Here is a 24084-nt window from a genome sequence, read left to right as displayed (position 1 = left end):
TCCTGGTGAACGGGGGGCAGGGAACTTTATCTCTGCAGAGACAGGCAGTGCCAGGCCAGCAGGTGTTTGGCCCCCACCCCTTGGGGGTCTAGCTGGGAAATTATCAGATGCAAAGACGACTACCCAACCCCCACCCAGGGGTGAACTGTAGGGGGCTAGTCATCCCTTCTCTTTATTCAGTGTCTATCCACGACACTCTGGACTTTCTCCAGCCCCCTCCCTCTTGCCAACCTCCCCCTCTCGCCCTGCTCCAGCCACCTTGGCCTTCTCTCTGTTCCTTTCTCCCACCAAGCTCTGTCCTACTTCTGCACCCTGGCACTTGCTGTTCCCTCCACCTGGAACACTGTTGGGCCCCATTGCATGCTTTGGGTCTCAGCTCAAGAGTCACTTCCTGGAGAGGCTTTTCCTGGCCACCCCATCTGAAGTTAACTACCAGTACCGCATCCCCATTACTCTCTAGCACTTCAACCTTGTTTTCTTCTCAGCTATGATCACAATCTGAACTTTGCTTATTTATGTGTCTCTCATTGAGTGCCTGTCTCCAACACTATATTCTCACTGTAGGAGAGTCAGGACCATGTCTGTCTTATAGCAATAAAGTTCTCCATAATTATTTGTTTCCGGAAATAAATAAGAGGAAAGACAGTGCTGCAGCTGACTTACTTGGTCCGTATTGGTCTCCCACTCCTCCACCCAGCCCTGGAATGTCCACTCCACAGGGCCAGGGTTTTGTGTCTGTTGTGTTTGCTGCTGTGTTCTCAAGGGCTAGCACTGTGCTGGTACACAGTAGATGCTCAATAAATATTTGTTGCATGAAGGAGCAAAGTGTGCAAGAGCTCTGGACTGGGAGTCAGGAGACCTGAGTCCCTTCCCAGCATTGTGCTTGATGGAGTATAGGACCAAGGGCAAGTTCCTTCCTCTCTGGGCTTTCACGTTCCTCTCTAAAAGCTGGACTTTAAAATCTCTGCTACAGGACCATGGAAGGTCAAGTGTGGCTTGTCCTCATTCACTCCCCAGAGAAGGCAGGTGATGCAACTGCCAGCAGGGAAGGGGCAGGCAGAGCTGGGTTCCAGTCAAGGCATGGCTACTACCTGGCTATATGACCTTACAGAATCACAGTCCCTCTCCCATTTCCTCATGTGCAAAAGGGGCACAGTGGGCCAGGTGTGGTGGCTCATACCTGTAATCCCAGCACTTTGGGAAGCCGAAGTGGGTGGATCACCTGAGGTCAGGAGTTCGAGACCAGCCTGACCAACATGGAGAAACTCCGTCTCTAATAAAAACCCAAAATTAGCCAGGTGTCATGGTGCATGCCTGTAATCCCAGCTACTTGGGAGGCTGAGGCAGGAGAATCACTTGAACCTGGGAGGTGGAGAGTGCGGTGAGCCAAGATTGCACGATTGCACTCCAGCCTGGGCAATAAGAGCAAAACTCCATCTCAGAAAAAAAAAGGGGGGGGCACAATGGCTAGAGGACTGCCTGAGACAAAGGCAGGCACAGAGTTGCTCAGTGTAAAGCGCTCTGCCCATAAGTGTTTTTTCTCATCAGCAAGGCAGTGCAGCAGGACCTCACACCACAGCTCCGCCCAGCATGCACTGTTTCCTTATCTATAAAAGGAGCTCCCCATAGTACCAACCTGGCACATTGCAGGGGCTTTATAACCACAGTCCTTAGAGTCAGTAAGTGCCTCTGTGGCTCTTTATGTCTGATTATTTGTGTTCTCCCAAATCATTATTTGTGGACCACTTCCATCCCCTTCTCACCCACCCGCCACGTTGTACCCAAGCAAGTGACCCTATTATGTGCCCAGTGGGTACTATGGGGAGCTCCTTTTACAGCTAAGGAAGCAGAGCACACATTGGGTGGAGCTGTGGCATGAAGAGAACCCAAATATCAGAGCACAAAGGGAGACCCAAGGTGAGGATGGAGTGGGCATGGTTTAATTTCAATGTTAGGGTGAGTTGGGGAGGATGGGGCTGGGGGAACCAGGGCATGAGGCTGGAGAGGTGAGCCACGGTGAGATCAGGCAGCCCTGGGGGTCAGATGAGGATTTGGCCTTTATCATGGGAGCAGTGAGTGCTACAGGATCATTTTAAGCAACGAAGTTAAATGATTCAAGTTTCAAAACACTCACTCTGGCTTCCAGGTGCCAGGTGTGGCTGGCATTCCAAGCGATTTGCCATGTCCCGCAGTATGAGAACCCCCTCCCCACCGATATAGCTGGGTGAATGGATGGCAGAACAGAGACCACGCTTCCCAGCCTCTCTTGCAGTTAGGGGTGGCCATGTGTCTGCATTCCTGCCATGAAGAGGTAAACGGAGTACCGAGTACAACTTCTGAGCGGTGGGGGTGAGGGGTCCTTAAAGAGACCAGAGCATTCTTTGCCTCTTCCTCTTTCCCTCTGGCTGGAATGTGGACATGATGGCCAGAGAATGAGCGGCCACCTTGGACTATGAAGTGTTGAGGGTGGAACAACAAGATAGAAGGAGTCTGGGTCCCTGAGGATCAAAGAGCCATTATACCAGCCCGGGACTGCCTGCTTCCAGATTGGTAATAAGAAAAAGAAATCAGTGTCTGTCCTCTTTAGGTCACTCTTCTTGTGGGCTCCCTTCCACTCTCAGCCAACTCCAAACCCAGTAGATCCAGTTGGCACAGATGATCTTGGAGCTATGTGGCCCACCTTGATGTGCAGGGAACAGAGGATGCTCCTGGGCCGTCAACTTCCTGTTCACACTGTCAGGCTCCCAGCCCTGACTGCCCAGCTCTGTCCGTCCAAGGGCACAGCCTAAGTCAGCCCAAAGGAATTGGCTGGGATCTCCGGCTAGGCCAAGCTCTGATAGGTGCAGAGCTCATTAGGGCCTGAGACCAGGCCTCCTGCTGCTGCCCTCGTAACTTTGAGGAGCAGGACATGGAGAGGATGGTGGACCATGGCAGGGTGGCACTGTCCATCCTCGTGGGCCACTTCCAGCCCCTTCTCACCCACCCTCCACGTTGCACCTAAGCAAGCTTCTTAGTGCCCTCTCCCGACCTCGTGAATTCCACACATCAGTGTCTTCCCACAGCCCTCCAAGGCCCTCAAGATGACATCCAGTCACCTATGTGGCCCACTAGGCCCTGTAGGACATGGGCCCTGCTTGATTCTTCAATGCTCAAACCCATGGGCACGAATCCCAGCTCTTCCTCTTAGAAGATCTGTGGACTCAGGTAGCTTGCTAAAGCATTTTGGGTCTTAATTTCCTCATCTATGAAATGGAGATGATAAGAACAGCTACTTCCTAAGTTGTGAAGCTTAAATGAGTCAGCACAGGGATTCTGGTGATTTACTGTGGCATAACAACCCCAACGTGTAGTACTGTTAACCATTTTCTTATGCTCACAGATTCAGACAGAGCACATGGGGGTGGCTTCCTTCTGTTCTACAGTATCTGGGGCCTCAGCTGAAAAGAGTTGAAGGCAGGGGACTAGAATCATCTAGAATTGTCTTCCCCTCACATGTGTGGCAGTTAGGAGTGGCACAGTGGAGACTGCAGGCCAGAACATCCACACCTGGCCTCTCCGTGGGTCCTGGGCTTCCTCCTAGCATGCAGGCTGGGTTCCAACAGTTCCAAGAGTGAGTGTCCCCAGAGACTCAAGCAGAAGTGGCATGGTCATTTTTTTTATTATTTATTTATTTATTTATTTTGAGAAGGAGTCTTACTCTGTTGCCCAGGCTAGAGTGCAGTGGCACGATCTAGGCTGACTGCAACCTCTGCCTCCCGGGTTCAAGTGATTCTCCCGCCTCAGCCTCCCGAGTAGCTGGGATTACAGCTACCACGCCCGGCTAATTTTTTTGTATTTTTAGTAGAGATGGGGTTTCACCATGTTGGTTGGCCAGGCTGGTCTCAAACTCCTGCCCTCGGGTGGTCCGCCCACCTCAGCCTCCCAAAGTGCTGGGATTACAGGCGTGAGCCACCGCACGCAGCCAGCATGGTCATTTCTAACCATATTTTATTCCTGGGAGCAATCAAGAGAGGGGACATAGGCCCCACTTCTTGATTAGAGGAATTTAAAGGAATGTGGAGTCATATTTTAAAATGGCTTGAACAGTGCCTGATCCCATAAGCACTTATACAACAACTAGGAGAAGTAGTAATGGTATAATAGTACCAGGGTTCAATCCTATGTGTGTTGAAATAGTCATATCAGGTGACACTAGTCATAAAGGGGTTAATGGAGGAAGCATGGGGACAGGTCCCTGGAACCTGACATCCCACCTAGGCCAGACAGACACTGAAGGATACAGCTAGGATAATATAAGCTGAAATGTCTTGGTGCCAGGCACCAAGCCAAGCACTTTCCATGAACGATCTCGTATCATTCATACAGTAATCCAAGAGGCAGATCCTAACATTATGCCCATTGACGGATGAGAAGCCAGAAGCTCAGAGAGGTAACGGGTCTTGCCCAAGGCCACACAGCCAGAAAGAGGCACAGCAAAGATTTGAACTCAGGCAGTGGGTTGTCAGCCCTGGTCCTCACTTCCCAAGACTAAGCTGGGCAATAGTCCAGCCTGCCAGGTGGAACAGGCCGTCCTGACTGTTTGGTGACAGACAGGGAGGGCTTGTTCTGCTGGACGGAGAGCCAGGACCAGGAGGTTTGTCAGCTGCAAGCCTACAGCCACAGGCTGGGGGAATGGGGCCAAGACCTCCGTCTGGAAGAGTGGGGGAGGGAGTGTGTGGAGAGAACCCAAAGAGCAAGGCAGAGCCCCCTCCAGAGGCAGCTGAGCCCTGAGGATGGAAATAAAGCCCAGGGATCACAACAGGGCCCCAACTTCTGCTTCCTGGAGCCCCAACCAGCTTGTCACTGGTCCCCCACCTGGAGCAGGGCTCACCTGCTACTGGAGGTCAGGAGGTCTCAGCTGTAGGGTGAGGAGGATGGGGAGAGGACCACCATTCCATACAACAGCCAGGGAAAGGGCACAGAGGGGGCACTTCCAGCAGCAACAAGCACACCTGGGGGGCGGGGTGCAGGATGACTCTATCTTCTCTTCTCATCTACTCCCTCTCCCTTCCTTCCCTCCTTCCACTCCTTCCTTCTATCCCCTCTTCTACTGATTGATTGATTGATTGATTGAGACAGAGTTTCATTCTTGTTGCCCAGGCTGGAGAGCAACCTCCGCCTCCCGAGTTCAAGCGATTCTCCTGCCTCAGCCTCCAGAGTAACTGGGATTACAGGCATGCACCACCACACCTGGCTAATTTTGTACTTTTAGTAGAGACAGGGTTTCTCCATGTTGGTCGGGCTGGTCCCGACCTCAGGTGAACCGCCCACCTTGGCCTCCCGAAGTGCTGGGATTACAGGCATGAGCCACCATGCCCGGCCCCCCTCTTCTATTTATTTATTCTATACTTCACTCCCTATTTCTCCCTCCTCCTGTCCCCCCTCCTTCCCTTCTTGTCTTCTCTCCTTCCTTCCATTCCTTCTTCACATGGAACCTCACAGATGGGAGAAGCTACATTCTCCAAAGACAAGGGGAAACCTGGCCTGAACCTGGCCCTAAAAAAACCCATTTTATGGATTTCACCATAAAACGAAACATGAGGCCAGGAGCCATGACTTACACCAGCACTTTGGGAGGCCAAGACGAGAGGATCCCTTGAGGCCAGGAGTTCCAGTCCAGCCTGGGCAATAGAGCGAGACCCAGTCTCTACTAATAATAAAAAATTAAAAAATTAGCCAGGCATGGTGGCATGCTCCTGTGGTCCCAGCTACTCAGGAGGCTGAGGTGGGAGGATCTCTTAAGCCCGGGAGGCTGAGGCTGCAGTGAGCCATGACTGCACTACACTTCAGCCTGGGCAGCTGAGTGAGACTGTCTCTAAAAAAAAAAAAAAAAAAGAAAGAAAAGAGAGAAAGAAACATGATTCCTAAGCTGTCACAAAACCAGCCCTAACAGTGTCACGAGCCTGCAATAACTTCCCTTGACCCTCCAGAACTTAGCTGGAAAAGGGGTGTCAACTCCTCTTTGTCCCCTAAGTATAGATGGCATCCAGGGTGTGTGAGTATCCCGGGTGTTCCTGGGAGGCTCATGGGGCATGGATGATAAGCTGGATCACCTTGAGCTAATGGCTAAGCCCCTCTGAGCCTCCGTTTTCTTGGCTAAAACAATTTACAATTTTGTGGGGCTGAGACCGGGTGACACGCAGTTGCACCCTGTCACAGGAGTGCTTTGGCCTTGCTTAGTCCCTTGCTGGCACCGGCCTCTGACCTTTCTCCCAGGCCTGGGGGCAGAGCCAACTCCCAGCTGATGTTGGCGAGCGTCTGGGAGGGTGGACAGGCAGGCTGTCGGGGCCGGCCGCGTGCCCAGAGAACCTTCTGTGCCACTGTTCCCTCAGCCAGGCAGACTGGGCCCATCGGCCACTTCCTGTGCCCCTGGCAGGACAGGGCTGCAGGCCCCTCCTCTCCTGCATCTCTGCTCAGCTGATGGTGGTGGCCACCCCTCCTCCCCCCAAGCCCTGGAAACAGAAGTCTCCAATATAAATGCAAATTTGCTGCAGTCCCCAGGCTGGCAGCTCCAGCCTGTGCTGCAGGCTGGGGACAGGAGCTGACACTGGCCCAGAGGAGATAAGGCACTTCTGGGCCACCCCCGCCCCCGGAACCAACCACTCCTCAGCCTGTCAGCTCCACAAAAACCCCAGGGAATCCTGGCCAGCTTGCTTCTTTTCCTCTTCACTGTCCCATAAGGCCTGCACTGGGCTGCAAAGGGCCCCCCTTGCCACAATTAAGGAGGGGGCATCCCTCAATGGTGAAGATGCTCACCCGCCTGCCCTCCAGGGACTGGCAGGAACAAAGCAGGAAGCAGGAGAGGTGGGAAAAAGGATGGCACAACGATGTGGGGATCTCACCTCTGCCCCCATCCTCCACGAGGCTCAGGGCCACCCCTAGCCCATAGCATTCCTTTGTGTGAATTAGAAACAGGTACCCTTTCTTCCTGGTGCAGCCCCCTGGTGGGATGCAAGGCATCCCCTTAGCCTCCAGTTGGGCTCCCTGGAGCCCAGCACAACTTGCACAGCTGTAAGCTACAGCCTTTGGCAGGACCCATCTCGTCTCTGGGACTTGGTTTCCCTTTGGCCAGGGGAATCATCTAGAGTGACCCCTAACGTGGCATAACTCCACTGTCGGCAAGTGCATGAAGCTCCTGGAGTTGGACAAGGCAGCACCACAGGTGAGGTCTCTCCAGCTTGGATATCTTACCATCCTTTCATCCCTAGTTCCTGGACACTCCGTTCCCTAAGCCAGGACTCCATGATTTTTTTTTTTTTTTTTTTTTTTTGAGACAGAGTCTAGCTCTGTCACCCAGGCTGGAGTGCAGTGGTGGGATCTCGGCTCACTGCAACCTCCACCTCCCAGGTTCAAGCAATTCTCCTGCCTCAGCCTCCTGAGCAGCTGGGATTACAGGCTCGCACCATCATGCCCTGCTAATTTTTTGTATTTTTAGTAGAGACGGGGTTTCACCATGTTGGCCAGGCTGGTTTTGAACTCCTGACCTCAAGTGATCCACCCGCCGCAGCCTCCCAAAGTGCTAGGATTACAGGCATGAACCACCGTGCCCGGCCAACTCCATGATTCTTAACAAGGGATTGAGTCTCTGGCAAAAGCATTCTGTGATCCACAGGAGACAGAGGAGGGGAAGTTTGGAGTCAGATGCAGGACTCTCCCATGCCGCAAGCCCAGGTTCAAGTCCAGACGTTACTGGCTCTGGCTCTAATGTCACCTCCTCAGAGAAGCCTTCACGGATGGCCTCATCTGGAGCAGTTCCTTCTCCACCTCCAGAGGCCATATCACATTGCCCTGTGGGTTTTTTCTCCCTGGCATTTATCGTTATGTGAAATTATCTCATTCATTGATGTCTTCCCGTGGTTATTTTCTGGCTCCCCTCTCCCTTACTGGAATTCAAATTTCTACAAGAGCAGACACCATGAATCAATAACTCCTGCCCTTGACACTTTCTGGGGGATAATGACACCTCCCCTCCCATTGCGTTAGTGTAAAGTGTGCAGTGAGACAGCCAGAGTTGCTCAGCACAGAGCCAGCCCGCAGCGAGCACTCCATAAATGCTAATGGTGGTTGTTATTGTTATTAGGAGAGGGCTGTGAGTGCCCTAGTCCCAGAGGTGCAACTCCTGACACATCTCCACAAATTCCACACCAAATTCCGCTTCTTCCAGCCATGCTGCCCACACCCACCACTGAGGCCTTTTACTCACCTGAGACCCTGGGCAAATTGCTGCGTCTCTCTCTGCCTCCGTTTCCTTCTGTAAACTGACAAGGCAATCTCCTTATTGCCTGAAACTCCACAAAGTTGCTGTGAGTGTCAAATGACACAATGAGAAGGATCACACTTTATAATCCCTAAATATGATTTAAATACCAGGAAGAGCTCCGAAAGCCCCTCCCAGCCGCCCGGCCTTTGACTGTGGCAGCCTCACTGCACCCTCCAGAGCCTCCCAGTGCCCTCCGCCTGGAATCCCAAGGCCCTGCTTTCTCCTGACCCAACCCAGCCCTGGCTTAAGGCCTTCCTCACGGAGCGGTTTCCACCGAAGCAGTGTTTCTCGAAGTTTGGGCGGAATCACACCACCTCCTCCCCACCCCCATCTGCAGGCTATCTTCCACCAATTTACTTAATATTTTTCTTTAAATAGCCTCATTTAAAAAAACAAAAAGCCAGTTCACGCTAATGGGAAACTTTGTGCTGCCATACATGAAAATTAATATCAATTACTATAAAAGTATCAATTACTATACATGTTGATATTTGCTAAAATAAATGCTTAAGAATTAAATGCTTGGCACCCACCTCTTACCCCTCTGAAGGAAGGGAATCCTGATCTAAGGCTTTCAAGTTCTCTGGGAGACTTCTTTTTATTTTTCTCATCCAAGACAACCCAGGAGACTTTTAAAAGATTCCTGACCGGGAGCACGGTAGCTCATGCCTGTAATCTTTTTGGAAAGCCGAGGCACGTGGATTGCTTGAGCCAGGAGTTCGAGACCAGCCTCATCAACATGGCGAAACCCCATCTCTACAAAAAATACAAAAATCAGCCAGGCATGGTGGCATGTGCCCGTGGTCCGAGCTACTCGGGAGGCTGAGGTGGGAGGATCATTTGAGGCTGAGGTGGGAGGATCATTTGAGCCCAGGAGGTCAAGACTGCGTGAGCCGTGATCGTGACACTGCACTCCAGCCTGGGCAACAGAATGAGACCCTGTCTCTTAAAAAAAACCGAAATCCTTCATTGACTGGACAAACATTTTTATGAGAATGTTATGTGCCCAGCCCAGGAGGTAGCAGCTGTAGTGGACCCCTTTTCTTGCCTTCAACACATAGAGGTGCTGGTTGAAGCAGGAGCTTATGGCCATTGGAAATGCAATTAATTAGCCAAGAATCATTACCAAAGCAGGCCTAATTTCTTGGCTCTTTTCTCTTAATAGTACTAATAATGGCATCTTACCTGTCAGGAGTCAGGAGAGGGTAGGAAGGAAGAGGACAGGGAAAATCTTTAACTGCTACAGTAACTATTTCTGCACACAACAGAACATGCCTGCTAACAGCTCCAGTTCAAAACATCATCTCCAGGACCCCTACTTTGCTGATTCCAGACTCTTGGGAAGGGCAATTGAACACAATGGCATATTGCTTCTTGGAAAGGAATCAAAAGTGGATCCTCTGGCAAATTTGGTCAAATGTATCCGAAGCCTTAAATTCTATGGGCAATTTCATTTCTATGACTTTATCTAAGAGAAATGATCATGAATGTGGACCCCAACAGCTTCAGGATATTCTTGGCAGCATTATTGATCATATGAAAGCTGAAAGCAACTTAAATGTTCATCACAGGGGATTCAGTAAATAAAGACTGTATATTCCATACAATGGAAAACTATGCAACCATTTACCAAAGATGTTGTAGACTATTTAAACATGGAAAAAATGTTCCTTCATGTTAGGTAAGTGGAAAAGTAGCTACAAAACAGGATGCACATATGATCTTTTTAAAATATATATATACATGTGCCAGGCGTGGTGGCTCACGCCTGTAATCCCAGAACTTTGGGAGGCCGAGGTGGGCAGATCATGAGGTCAGGAGATCGAGACCATCCTGGCTAACATGGTGAAACCCTGTCTCTACTAAAAAATACAAAAAAAATAGCCGGGCATGGTAGCGGGCGCCTGTAGTCCCAGCTACTCCGGAGGCTGAGGCAGGAGAATGGCGTGAACCCAGGAGGCGGAGCTTGCAGTGAGCCGAGATTGCGCCACTGCACTCCAGCCTGGGGGACAAAACGAGACTCCATCTCAAAAAATAAATAAATAAATAATATATATACATGTGCATCATAGAAACATGGGGATGGCTTTGGGTTGGAAAGGATTCCTGAAGCAAGAAACAGAAAGGACAAACCATAAAGGCATATATTAATAAATTAGTTACATTACAACCGATACCGTTCATCAAAGTTCACCATTTTTTAAAAGTGGAAAGACAAGTCACAAGCTAGAAGATGTCCGTAACAATTTAACTGACAAAGATTAGCACCCAAATATATAAAGAACCCCTACAATTCAATAAGACAAGGACAAACAATCAAAAAGAAAAATGGACTAAAGATTTGGACAGACATAGAGAAGCGAAAACATGAATAGCCAACAAACATTTGAAAAGATGCTCAACCTCTGAGTAATTAGAGAAATCCAAATTAAAAGCTCATTTCCTGTCTACTCAATTGGCAAAACTTAAAAAGCTAGACAAGTCCAAATGTGATCAATTATGTGGAACAAGGACTCCTTGACACTGGTGATAAGGGAGTCAGTTGTACAACCACTCTGGAGAACAATTGGGCATTATTTTGCACTTATTCCCAGCAATCCCTTCCTGGAGACATTCTAGAAAAACATATCAGGAGGTATGTACAACAATGTTTAGACTGGCAGGATTGAGCCCTTCCTCGGGCACCTAATAAATTCTTCTTTCTTCTTTACTGCCTTCTTTGCACTTCTGGGTGGTGTCACTCAACCCTGTCAGGTAGTCACTGGGCAAGCCAGATTCCATGGGCAGAAGTGGGCATCATCTTTGTGAAAGTAGTGACCCTCCCAGGGAGCCTGGGAGAGGCCAAGACTGCCCAGTGTGTTAGGAAAAGAGGTGGCAGGGTTGTGGGCATGTCTAGTTAATAAATGACAGTTCATCCAAATAACAGACTGCTCTGCTGCTGTACAAAAGAATGGGCAGCTCCACATGAGCCAATAGGAAACATCTCCAAGATGTACTGCCAAGAAAAAAGAAAAAAAGCAGGCAGAACAGCCACCATTGTGAAAAGGGGAGGAGTCAGGTGTATATATACATGTTCATTAGCATGTGCACAAAATACCTTTGAGTACAGGAAACGCCTCAGTGGGGAGAGGGTGCGTGGCTGGGGGTCAGAGGTGGGAGAGAGACTTGCTTTTCAGGGCATCTCCTTTTGTTCCTTTTTATTTGTACATTGCACATGATACTACGAAAAAATAAATACAATAATGTTAAAATGGAAACAAAATGCAGTCACATCACATAGAACGCATATGTAACTATTAGGAGACTTGGGCGTTGCTCATGACCCATTGACACAATGCTACTTGGTAGGCACTTCACTAAGTCTTTCAAGTTTGGAAAGTTTTAAAATATTTTTCCAGCCAGCTTTTTTAGATTTCAGACTTCTCCATGGATCCTTGACGAGCCCATGGCTTCTTGGCATTGTGCCTACTGGGCCAAATGCACAGAGCAGAACTTATCACCTATGCCCAGCAGCCCACTGGTTCTCCAAGGGCTACTCTTCAACACGCATTCCATTGACTTCCATCATCGACTGGGTCCCACCCCAGGGGTGCTTTTTAGTGCAAGTGAATCCATGGAGGAACTCGCATGACCCTCCCCTTCCTCAGGAACCAAAATTGCACAAGGTGACTTTCAGGCCTTCAGCCTCCCATCAGGCTAGGTGGTATATATGTGTCTCTCCACCTGTGATACTCTGCTGTCTCTCCTCCCTGCACCCCCTTGTTCACTGTGCTCCAGCCACACTGGCTTTCTTGTTTCTCAACCCCGGCAACTATGATAGGCAGATTCTAAGATGGCCTCCAGGATTTCAGCCCAGTCCTCCCCATCCTGTGTACATGTCCTGTAAAATACCCTGCGCTGTGAATATGGTGGCGTTTACTCTTGTGATCAGCTTATGTTATTTGGCATAAATGGCCTTAAGATACGGAAAATCTCTGGGTATGCTTGATACGGTTTGGATGTGTGTCTTCTGAAATCTCACGTTGAAATGTGATTCCCAGTGTCGGAGGTGGGCCTGGCGGGAGGTATTGGATCACCGGGGCGGATTCCTCATGAATGGTTTACCACCATCCCCTTGGTAATAAGTGAGTTCTCACCCGGTTAGTTCACAGATCTGCTTGTTCAAAAGAGTCTGGGGCCAGGCGCCATGTCTCATGCCTGAATTCCCAGCACTTTGGGAGGCCAAGGTGGGCAGATTGCCTGAGTTCAGGAGTTCGAGACCAGCCTGAGCAACATGGCAAAACTCCATCTCTAACAAAAATGCAAAAAAATTAGCTGGGCATGGTGGCGTGCACCTGTAGTCCCAGCTGCTCAGGAGGCTGAGGCATGGGAGTCACTTGAACCCGAGAGGTGGAGGTTGCAGTGAGCCGAGATCATGCCACTGCACTCCAGCCTGGGCAACAGAGCAAGACTCTGTCTCAAAAAACAAAAATAAAAAATAAAAGAATCTGGCACCCTCCCCTTCTCTCTCTTGCTCTGGCTCTCACCATGTGACACCACTTGCTCTCCCTTCACCTTCTACCATGATTAGAAGCTTCCCGAGGCCTCACCAGAAGCAGATGCTAGAGCTATGCTGGTACAGCCTGCAGAGCCATGAGCCAATTAAACCACTTTTCTTTATAAATCACCCAGCCTCAGGTATTTCTTTATAGCAATGCAAAAGTGAACTAACACAGTACCTGATCTAATCCTAAGAGCCCTTTTAAAGCAGTGAGTTTTTCCCGGTTGGTCACAGAAGAGGAAGTCAAAGACATGAAGCATAAGGAGGATTCAAAACACCATTGCTCACTTGAAGATGGAGGGGCCACACATCAAGGAATGCAGGTGGCTTCTAGCCAACAAAAAAATCGTCTGTTACGGTCAGTCCCACAACCGCAAGACGCTGAACATTGCGAACAACAAGAATGAACTTGGGGGCAACCCATTTTCGCCAGGACCCCTCTCTCTGCAACAGAGAGAGCTTTTCTCTTTCTTTTGCCTATTAAACTTCTGCTCTTAACCTCACTCTGGTGTGTCCGAGTCCTAGTTTTCTGTGGCCATGAGACAACGAACCTTGGGTATTACCTCAGTTGAACAACACCACTTCATTGTGGGGGCCTGCCTGGGATCCGACGTAGATTCATTGAAAGAGTGAGTATAGGCACAGACCCCAGCTCTTTCATTTTAAGGACTCTGTCCTCCATTTTCTCAGGGAACAGGCTTGCCGGGGAGAACTTAGCCAATCCTTCAGTGCCCTCAGGGTGCTGGGAATGTTGGCTTTGTTTCCAACTGGTCTCCTTTCATGGAGAGCTTAGCCATCATGTGGGGCTGGAAGAAGTTCAGAGGCAACTGAGAGTTCCTGGCCAGGGCAACACCCTGGCATTACCTGAAGACTTCTGGACTAACCCCAGCTTCCAACAGCCCGATGGGTGACAGCAACAGGATCTCCAAGATTTTTCTATCGAAAAATTTCCTCCTTTCCTCTCTGCAACTGCACAAAAAAAAAAAGAAAAAGAAAAAAAAGAAAAGAAAAGAATGAAATTGGAAGTGGATTTTTTCCCCAGAGCCTTCACATAAGAACTAAGCCCAACCTACACCTTGGTTTCTACCTTGTAATATCCTGAGCAAAGAACTCAGTTGCTCTGTGCCAGACGATGACTTACAGAACTGTGAGCTAAATGGCTGTTGTTTGAAGCCACTAAGTTGGTGATGATTTGTTACATAGCAATAGACACTAATACACAGGCCAAGCTGGTCCCACTCTGGGCCTTTTCTCAGATGGGTCCCTCGGCCTTTGAGACTCTCCCCAAGTATCCATGGAGCTACTCCCTCCCTCCCACTAGGTCTCTGCTCAAAGGTCCTCCCCTAGAGAGGCCTGCCTGGACCATACCATCTAGAATAGCACCACCCCCTCATTTTCTGTTCCTCTGCCCACTTGATTTTTCTATATATCACTTATCATTACTTGACATCATATGGTTTCAGTTTCATGTAAATAACTTTATTGTAAAATAATGTTAAACCTACAGAAGAGTTGCAAACATTGTACAAAGAATTCTCATATATTGTTTACCCAGAATCCCCAAATATTGACATTTAAACATATTTGCTTTATCATTCTCTCTTAGAGATTTATATATAGAGAGATTTTCTTTGAATTGTTTGAGAGTAAATTGTCAATTTGATTCCCTGTTATCCTGGAATACTTTAGTGTACATTTCCTAAAAGCAAGTATATTCTCCTACATAACCACAATAAAATCATCAAAATCAGGAAATTGACATTGATATATTACTACCATCCAATCTTCAGAGCCCAGTCAAATATTGTCCATTGTCTCAATAATAATGTCCTTTATAATAAACAAAAAGATCCATCCAGAATTACTCATTGTATTTCATTGTCTTATCTCTTTAGTCTCCTCTAATCTGTGACGGTCCCTCAGTTTTTCTTTGCCTTTCATTACCTTGATACTTACCCAGGTTACAGGCCAGTTGTTTTGTAGAAGGTTCCTCAAATTGGGTTTATGTGACGGCTCCTCGTGATTAGATTTCAGTTTTGCATCTCTGGCAGGAACATCACAGAAGTGATTTTTCACTCTTCCCTGTGCATCCCATCAGGAGCCTCATGTCAGTTTGTCCAGTAACAGTGATGCAGCCTTTGATCACTCGACTAAGATAGTCTCTGCCATGTTTCTTCGCTATAAAGTCACTCTCCTTCCTTTTGCAGGTATTGTATCTTGTGGAAAGACTCTTTAAGACTATGTAAATATCCTACTCCTCAACAAATTTTCACACAATGGCTTTAGTTTTAGCATCTAGTAATGCTTCTTGTTTGAATCAATTATTACCATACTAGTTGCATCCTTCCTTCCACACCTATTATTGGGCATTCTAGTGTAAGAAAGAGCTTTCTCTTTCTGCACATGTGTGTATGTATGTATGTGTGTATGTAATACGTGTATGTGTCTGTATATCAGGACTATTTATATTTCATGGCTTATAATCTGTTACTGTCATTATTTTGATACTCAAGTTGTCCCAGATTTGGCCATTGGGAGTCCCTTTAAGTTGGCACCTTGGTCTTTTGACATGTCCTCAGCATTACTTGAGCACTTGCCTATCATATGGCACAGCTAGATGTTTCATGTACCATGGTACCAGGCACAGGGCACTTTTCCTGCTCCAGCCCTCAAATCTACTATTTTCCCAAGCCCCAGTTCCTTTCAGTGGAGAATAGTATTTAAAACCCAAGATCTAGGTGTTAGGTGTATTCGTGGCTACATGGTGTATTGATTATTGCTGTCTTTTTGGACAGAACTGGGAAATGCACATATGCATCACACACACACACACACACACACACACACACACACACACACACACACTTGCATGCATGCTTATGTAACTATATATATCAAAAGCTATGAGTTTACACTGATTCCTCTAACTCCAATCTAACACCACAGGGTTCTTTCTAGCCTTTCCTGTTTTCATACTTGTAATTCCCTTCTCTGATGCTGAGCAACCTGGCTCTCATTATCCTTGATATATGAACCTGTTTGTTCAATCCCCAGGCACACTGAGCCACCACCTCACTCAGCTGCCTTTGTTGCTTAGTCCCAAATCTCAACAGCTACCTCCAACAAATGCTGAGGAAGGAAAGGAGGAAAGAGGAAGCTGAATATTTATTTTCTCTTTTTTGAACTAGTAATACATTCACTTCATACAAAAATAAAAGTTATAGAAAAGTATACAGTGAAACTCTCCCCTTCCTGTCTCTCATTCCAACCCTACTCCTCTCCTTGGGTAACAACTATTATTAGTTTCATATATACACAAGCTAATAGAAATACATTTTTCAAATTGTCTCCTCTTTTACAGAAACTATCCTTCACATTCCTTTTCTTATTTGTCAAAACATCTTAGGGAGCTTTCTATATCAGTACATAAGAAATGGTCTCACCAGTGACGAGTTTAAGACCAGCCTGGTCAACATAGTGAGATCCCATCTCTAAAAAAAGTAAATAAAAATAAACAGAAATAGAAATGGTCTCACCCTTTTTAATGGCTATATAATATTCCATACTTCAGTCAGCCCATGTGTAACAGGCATTTAGATCATTACTAAGATTTTGCTATGCCAAACAAAATTGCAATAAATAACCATGAATGCATTCATTCCACATGTATGCAAACATGTCTATAGAATAAGTTTTCAGAAGTGGGATTGCTGGTATGACCTTTTATGCTTATGTGTTTCACGATTAATGGTCTGTCTCCCCTCTTAGAATGTCATCTCCAAGAGGAAAGGGACTCTGTTCTAGTCACTGCTGCTTTCCCAGGAACCATTAGAACATGGTAGGCACTCAATAAACATTTATCCACTGAATGAGTGAATGACTAATGCACTCTGATTCTGGACTTCACCATGTCAAGCATTTCGTAGCCCCTGTGCATCAGGCGCTACGAACCATTCTCCAAACACCCCCGGGAAGTAGGAATTGTTTGACAGCCCCATTTGACAGATGAGAGTCCTGAGGCTCAGAGAAGGACCACAACTAGGCTGATGTCACACAGCTAGCCAAAGCCACACCACAGTTTCCACCAGGTGAGTCAGGCCCTGGAGTCTGCTGCCACGAACCACTGTGCCTGTGCCACATACACAGGTCAGTCTCCCAGCCCCGCATGGATCCCTCCTCTCACCCACCAGCTTTCCTGGTCCCATCTACTGCCCCCTGCCCTGGCCTCATCCCCAGCTGAAGACACTTACACTTGCCCCTACCCTGAGCCAACACAGGACAGGACGAAGGAGAGGAGCTGTCATTTCCATACAGCTGTCCCTGGGAGCCAGGCCCTGCCCAAGCCCCCCCATTTTCCCTGAAAAGGCTGAATTGTCTTGGCCGTTTGGGGGGCACCTCTCAGCACAGGCCGGGCTGCCTGGGCAGGGTTTGGCTAGGCTATTATCCTACATTATCTCACTCCCCTGCTCCTGAAAAGAACCAGTGACTGCTCACCGCCCTCAGCCCTCCCCTGCCTGCTCCATCTTTTACACTTAATTACCTCACTCACTACCCCGCAGCCTGCAGAGGCCGGACCACAACTGGGGCGTGAGTAATCCCCGCATCGCACACCCAGCCAGCCGGCCAGCAAGCAGCAAATTGCTCACACGGCCCATAAATAAAGGAACAGGGCGTGCTTGGGCCTTCGGAGCAGAAGGCCCCTTGTGGTGGCTGCCGTGAGGGGCAGGTATCGGCCCCAGCTTCCCAGTTGGCCTTTGCCAGCCCTGGTGAGATGTCTCCACCTCCTCCACCCCAGAGGTGACCTTGAACTTCCCCAGGCCACTGAAGTCACAGCTCAATGCCACTGAGACAGATGGGGCAGCAAGCGCCAGCACCCCTTCCCCCCCACGACCAGGGTACCGCCAAGCATGACTTCCAGGGGCCTGCCTGACCCCCCCAGCCATCTCCCCGCTTCTCTCCTCCCCTCCCCATCCCCGCCATGGAATACTTTGTAAGCCCTGTGTCCTCTTTCTTTCCTAGCTTCGTTACTCATGCTGTTTCTGCTCCCTGAACACTTTTTCTCAGCACTCAGGGGTCTGGTTACTTCCTACTCATCTGAGAGGCCACTTCCTCTGGGAAGCCTTCCCTGATCCCTCTGGGCTGGGTTGGGGGCCTCAGGTACTTCCCCCATCAAAGCATCAAGCCTTTCCATTGTCACTGTCTGCTTTTCTCTTTTGAGGGAAGGACTGAGCCTTACGCATCTGCCTTTTGCCTATAGCACCCAGCCCAGGTCCTGGCACGTCACCAGGCTATTGACTAGGCGCTAAACAAATGTGAGTAAGTAAATGAGTACTTAGCAAATAACTTATCATTTCCAAGTCACAGTGCATGTAAATTATATTTCAAGATATGCGGAACGTCTGTAATGTCATTTTAAAAAATCTGTGATTTCTATTGGTGACAAAGTCACAGGTCCTGCTAATACCACTGTGGTCTGTTGCCTGCATTCATAATTGAAGGAATGATAAGTTTCAGATAGAGGTTAATGAAATTAAAGATGTAATACTTTCCCTATCCAAGTTAATGACAGACCAACTAAATTCTTTCCATGGACCCCAGGTTAGGACTTGTGATAGGGAATGACATTACTTCACTTTACACAGCTTGGCAGACATCGTTAATCAATTGCAGCAGTCTTTCTCAGTGAGCCCAAACTCAGTTACAGCATCTATCTCAGCACCATGTTCCAGGCTACGGACCAGTCAAGATTGGGCTCTTGAGCTGTAATCGACTTGGCATTCCTGGGAAGTGAGAGAGGGGCAATACTATTATAAGCGTGAAATTAAGGGAGAAGGGCAGTAAAGTGAGGTTTTGCAACAATATGTGGGTAGAGGACCATGAAAACAAAACGCTTGCTAGTAGCTTGATATATGCCACCCAGGGAAACAAAACAAGCTTATTAAATGTCTGGTCATGTAATTAGAAGTCCGGTATCTACGGTAAGGGAGGTGACAGTTTCATTCTGCTCAGCTCCATTCACCTATTTCTGGAGTTTTGTGCTCAGTTCTGGATCCTGTATATTCAGAAGAACACTGACAGACTGGAAAATGGTTCGGGGAAGCAACCAGGATGGGGAGATGTGTGGAAACTGTATCCTGTGCCACTGATTTGTTGACACCATGGACATGCATTGAGCCTTTCCTCTGAGCCGCTCTGTGCTAGGATCTGGGGACACAAAAATGAACAACCCAGGCCCCTGCCCTCAAAGTGAGGACAGTGGAAAGAACTTGGTATGTGCATATCCCCAAGGGGCCATCTGGGCCAGAAGGATGGAGTCTGTGCACAGAGAGCTGAACATGAGAAAAATAGTACCAGTGGAGTTTCCAGACAATGGCGTGAGCTGCTAAATCATCCAGGACCCATGGCTGCAGACGTGCCTGAAGGATCTCCAGGAGGGTCAGAAGGCTTACAGGCTTCATATCCAGAAAAGAAAAAAGCCCTCAAATCAGACCAAAGCCCTGGCCTGAGGGAGACTTCACTGCTGACACCACGGGTCCCCAAGACAGAGCTCGTGCTGCTGACACCAACGCTGGATGCTGACACCAGGACTTTAGTCCTTGCTACCTCTGGACACTCAATGTAGCAACCACCACACCCTCAACAGAATGGCACGAGGCTAATCTGGGTCACTTGACTGCCCCCTGGCCAAGACGGGGCTGGGAAGGCCAGCAATGATACCATGAGTGGGAGGTGAGGTCTCAGAAGCAAGGAGTTGGAGGGTGCTGGACGGCCAAAAGGAAGGTCACCTGCCCACTCCAGCCACCAAGGACTAGGTGAATCTGGTCAGCCCAGCTCTGAGCCCAGCATTTTACATGGACCATCTCTGTTAATCAACTCAGCTCTCAGAATTGTAAGCTATGCTTTTCAATCCCCATTTTACAGATGAGAAAAGTGAAGCTCAGAGAATCTAGGTCATGTGCCCCGTTCTTTTAACTGCTCCAGGAAGGTAAGTTCGCGGGGGCAGGGGAGTCATTTATCCACACTGAAGTTGATCTAGCCAACTGGGCTCTAGGCACCACCAGTCCTGGGATCTCCTGGATTCCACCCTGAATCTGCCACAGCAATGCTAAAGCAGATTTCCTGAGGCTTCACCCAGCACTTGCTGCATTCTGGACTCTACACAAAAGTCACCTCCTCAGAGAGGTCTTCCTTGACTACCCTATCTAAAATGGCTCTCGCTCCACCTCTCTTTTTTTTTTTTTTTTTGAGATGGAGTCTATCTCTGTCGCCCAGGCTGGAGTGCAGTGGCGCGATCTCGGCTCACTGCAAGCTCCGCCTCCCGGGTTCACGCCATTCTCCTGCCTCAGCCTCCCGAGTAGCTGAGATTACAGGCGCCTGCTACCACGCCCGGCTGATTTTTTGTATTTTTAGTAGAGACGGGGTTTCACCGTGTTAGCCAGGATGGTCTCAATCTCCTGACCTCGTGATCCGCCCGCCTCGGCCTCCCAAAGTGCTGGGATTACAGGCGTGAGCCACCGCGCCCGGCCTCCACCTCTCTCTGTCTTTGCCCATTTCCCTGCCTGGTGCTTTCTATGACAGGACATTGGCATATCTACCTACTCTTGGCTCAGCAGGATGTAAGCCACATGAGAGCAGGTCTCTGTCTTGTTCATTGCTGTGTCCCCAGCTCTTAGCACAGTGTCTGGCACATGGCAGGTCACAATAAGTATCTGCAGATTTATAGCTGTGAGCCCCTGGGCAATTTTTTTCTTTCTTTTTCTTTGTTGTTGTTGTTTGTTTGTTGTTTGTTTGTTTCTTGAGACAGAGTCTTACTCTGTCACCCAGGATGGAATGCAGTGGCCCGATCTTGGCTCCCTCTTACCTCTGCCTCCCGGTTCAAATGATTCTCATGCCTCAGCCTCAGTAGCTGGGATTACAGGTGCATGCCAGCATGCCTGGCTATTATTATTATTATTATTATTATTATTATTATTATTATTATTATTATTTGTATTTGTATTTGTAGCAGAGATGGGGTTTCGCCATGTTGGCCAGGCTGGCCTTGAACTCCTGGCCTCAAATGATCCACCCACCTCAGCCTCCCAAAGTGTTGGGACTATAGGCGTGAGCCATCGCGCCCAGCTGCTTGGGCAATTTCTTCACCTCGATGTTACCCACTGTCCCCCTTTTTATAAAAGGGGATAATCATGTCATATGCCTCCAAAAGTAGTTGTGAGGGTTCTGTAAGTTCATGTAGTATCACAGCCAAGCAGGCCTTTTCATGAGCACCTGTTGTGTACCAGGCCTATAATGGGGCACCTGTATGGGGTCCCCGCCCTTGAAGAGTTCACCATCTGGATAGGGTTCCAGAAGAATTTCATTGCAGGATCTTGACAGAGCCACAGGAGTCAGAGAGAGGAGAGGCTCCTTGGGGCTGAAAGGCCCAAGAGGTCACTGTAAGAGGATAGCCTCAGAATTAACAATGGCCAATATTATTGAGCACTGGCTGTGTGCAAACACCTCACTCATCTTCCATCTGCCCTTCAAGATAAGCCATTAGTATCAACATCCTCATGTAACAGTTGAAGAAACTGAGATAAAAAGAGGATGGGAAACTTCCCCAGGCTGGGTAACTTGTTGGTAAGCAGCCGAAGTGAACCCAGATCATCCACGCTTTCAACTCTTGTGCTCCCCCTCCCCCTCTGCAGCTAGGTGAGATGGGAGGCTAGGAAGATGAGCACTAGGGGCATGTGGACATTCTGACTCCTTAGCAACCTGTCCACTGGCAAAGTCTGCGGTCAAGCACAGGTCAATATTGACAGCCCCCTGCCTCCATGCACCTGGGCCACCTCCTGGCTTTCTCTAGAAGCTGATGAGTCCCAGCTGGTATATGAGCAGAGGCAGGGAGCAGGAGGCAGAGCCGGGGCTGCTGAGAGGGGTTGATTCCTCTGTGCCAGGAGTCCTGGGAGCCTGGAAATGCCAACTCTGCAGCTCCATTGCCACCTCAGCATCTCCCAGGCATGGTTCTGAGCTCGGCTGGTGGGGAAGAGAGGGAGGCAAGAGAGGCCACCTTGGAGTGAGGAAGCCCATCCTGACTTGGCAGGGAGCCTGAATGTTCCAGGGAAAGCATTTCCCTGTCCCATGCCTCAGGTTCCACAACTGTCAAATGGGGGTGGGGAGGAGACAATGCTGTTATCTCAAAGGCCCTTCAAGTAGAGCTCCCACTTACCAAGGGCTGACTATACATGAAGCCCCCTACAGCCCTACTTAGCAGGTGCTCCCACTGGCCTCTGTTTACAGAGATGAAATAGAGCTGCAAAGAGGCAAAGTAACTTGCCCAGGGCCAACCAGCTTGAAGAGGCAGAGCCAGGATTAAAATTTGGCTCAGCCAGGTACAGTGGCTCACATCTATAATCCCAGCACTTTAGGAGGCCGAGGCGTGAGGATCACTTGAGGCCAAGAGTTTGAGACCAGTCTGGGAAGTATAGCAAAATCCCATCTCTACAAAGAGTTTAAAAATTAGCCAGGGCATGGTGGCATGCACCTGTAGTCCCAGCTGCTCAGGAGGCTGAGGGAGGAGGATCACTTGACCCCAGGAGTTCAAGGCTGCCATAAGCCATGATCACAACACTGCACTACAGCCTGGATGAGAGCAAGACCCTACCTCTACAAAATAAAAATAAAAAATAAAACTTGGCTCAGGGTGACCCAGGCCCAAACGCTGAGTTATCCCACTTGCTTGAATGGTGGGCTCTTGTCTAGGGGCTTTTGGCCAGCCCACCGCTAAACCATGCCAGAGGCCCACCCCAAATACCCTGACCCCGCAGGCAGCCTGGTGATCAGACTCCTGATAGCCAATTCCTTCTTCCAGAGGTTTCAGAGACCTGCTTAAGATGGGACCTTGTCAGGGACAGGAGTTAGAATGTTTAGGGATGTCTCCAACTTTGAAAGAAAGACTTTTTTTCTTTTCTTTCTTTCTTTTTTTTTTTTTTTTAAGACAGAGTCTCACTCCATCACCTAGGCTGGAGTGCAGTGGCGCAGTCTTGGCTCACTGCAACCTCCTCCTCCCAGGTTCAAGCGATTCTCATGCCTCAGCCTCCTGAGTAGCTGGGATCACAGGCACGCCCCATCATGCCCAGCTGATTTTTGTATTTTTAGTAGAGACAGGGTTTCACCATGTTGGCCAGTCTGGTCTCGAACTCCTGAACTCAGGTGATCCACCCGCCTCGGCCCCCCAGAGTGTTGGGATTACAGGCGTGAGCCACCGGACCTGGCCTGAAAGAAAGACATTTTAATGGAGGAATACCAATGTCTGTAACAGTCAAGATAGAAATCTAATTATCACCCAAAACAGAGGGATATCTTGACGGTTGACACGTCAACCTGGCTCTGGTCAAAGGGGACCAAGGTGACTGCGGGTCGCAAGAAGGTTTTTCACTCATTAGTTTATTCATTCAATTGATGTATTTACTGAGCACTTACTATTTACCCGGCTCTGGGTAGACGATGGAGGTGCGGCAATGAATGGAGCAGATCCGGAATCCCACTCAAGGAGCTGTCAGCCCTGGCAGGGGGAAGGGGAGGGACATTCTTTGGAGGGCCCTCACCTACCCACCCTAGCATTGGTATCTTTTGCCCTCTTAGAGGGAAGGACTCATGGTTTAAGATCAGGACTTTGTAGCCAGGCAGCCTGGTTTAAATACTGACACCACTGATTCCTAGCTGGGTCTCCTTGGGCAAGTCACCTTGCATCTGTGAGCCTTGGTTTCCTCATCTGTAAAATGGGGATAGCCATGGGCCACACTCACAGGTTGTTATGATGGTTAAGTGAGGCAATCTATGTAAAGGGCTGGACTTGGCTCCTAGCACATAATAAGTGCTCAATAAATGTCAACTAGCTCCTTTCCACTACATATCACCCCTATCCTGGGCTAGATCCTGGGGTCAGGCAAGGGAGCGATGGGAGGAGGGGTTACCTAGGCAAGGAAGGGGGTGGAAGAGTGCTCTGGGCAGTGGGAACAATATATGCAAAGGCTTTGAGGTGGAAGTCTTTGAGGGAGCAAGGTAGAAGCTTCAGGGGGAGCTGGGACCCTGCTATGCCCCCAGCCACCACAGTAGGCCCCTTCCTGTTAAGGCTGTGAGGTCCTGAGCCAATGAAAAATGAAAATGGAAATGGTCCCAGAAATTGCCACCAAGGCATTTGCAGCTGGAGAGGAGGCAGTGTGGTGGAGTGGTCAGAGCAGAGCCTCCAAGCAGCTTGCCTGGG

General features: G+C 48.9%; 3 annotated features.

The window, feature by feature from the left end:
* Window positions 16825-17403: an enhancer, noted in NCBI's record as "H3K4me1 hESC enhancer chr20:669765-670343 (GRCh37/hg19 assembly coordinates)". NCBI's record gives its function as "activates a minimal SCP1, AML or CMV promoter by ChIP-STARR-seq in primed H9 embryonic stem cells {active_cell/tissue: H9 hESC(primed)}" and the evidence as "EXISTENCE:reporter gene assay evidence [ECO:0000049][PMID:30033119]".
* Window positions 17404-17984: an enhancer, noted in NCBI's record as "H3K4me1 hESC enhancer chr20:669184-669764 (GRCh37/hg19 assembly coordinates)". NCBI's record gives its function as "activates a minimal SCP1, AML or CMV promoter by ChIP-STARR-seq in primed H9 embryonic stem cells {active_cell/tissue: H9 hESC(primed)}" and the evidence as "EXISTENCE:reporter gene assay evidence [ECO:0000049][PMID:30033119]".
* Window positions 21225-21519: a silencer, noted in NCBI's record as "tiled region #5118; HepG2 Repressive non-DNase unmatched - State 21:Repr". NCBI's record gives its function as "represses a minimal TATA promoter and a strong SV40 promoter by Sharpr-MPRA in HepG2 cells {active_cell/tissue: HepG2}" and the evidence as "EXISTENCE:reporter gene assay evidence [ECO:0000049][PMID:27701403]".

Source organism: Homo sapiens, chromosome 20 (assembly GCF_000001405.40).
Source record: "Homo sapiens chromosome 20, GRCh38.p14 Primary Assembly".
Classification (NCBI taxonomy): Eukaryota; Metazoa; Chordata; class Mammalia; order Primates; family Hominidae; genus Homo; species Homo sapiens.
The sequence above is the reverse complement of the archived record's forward strand: the minus strand, read 5'-3'. Positions and strand labels throughout refer to the sequence as shown.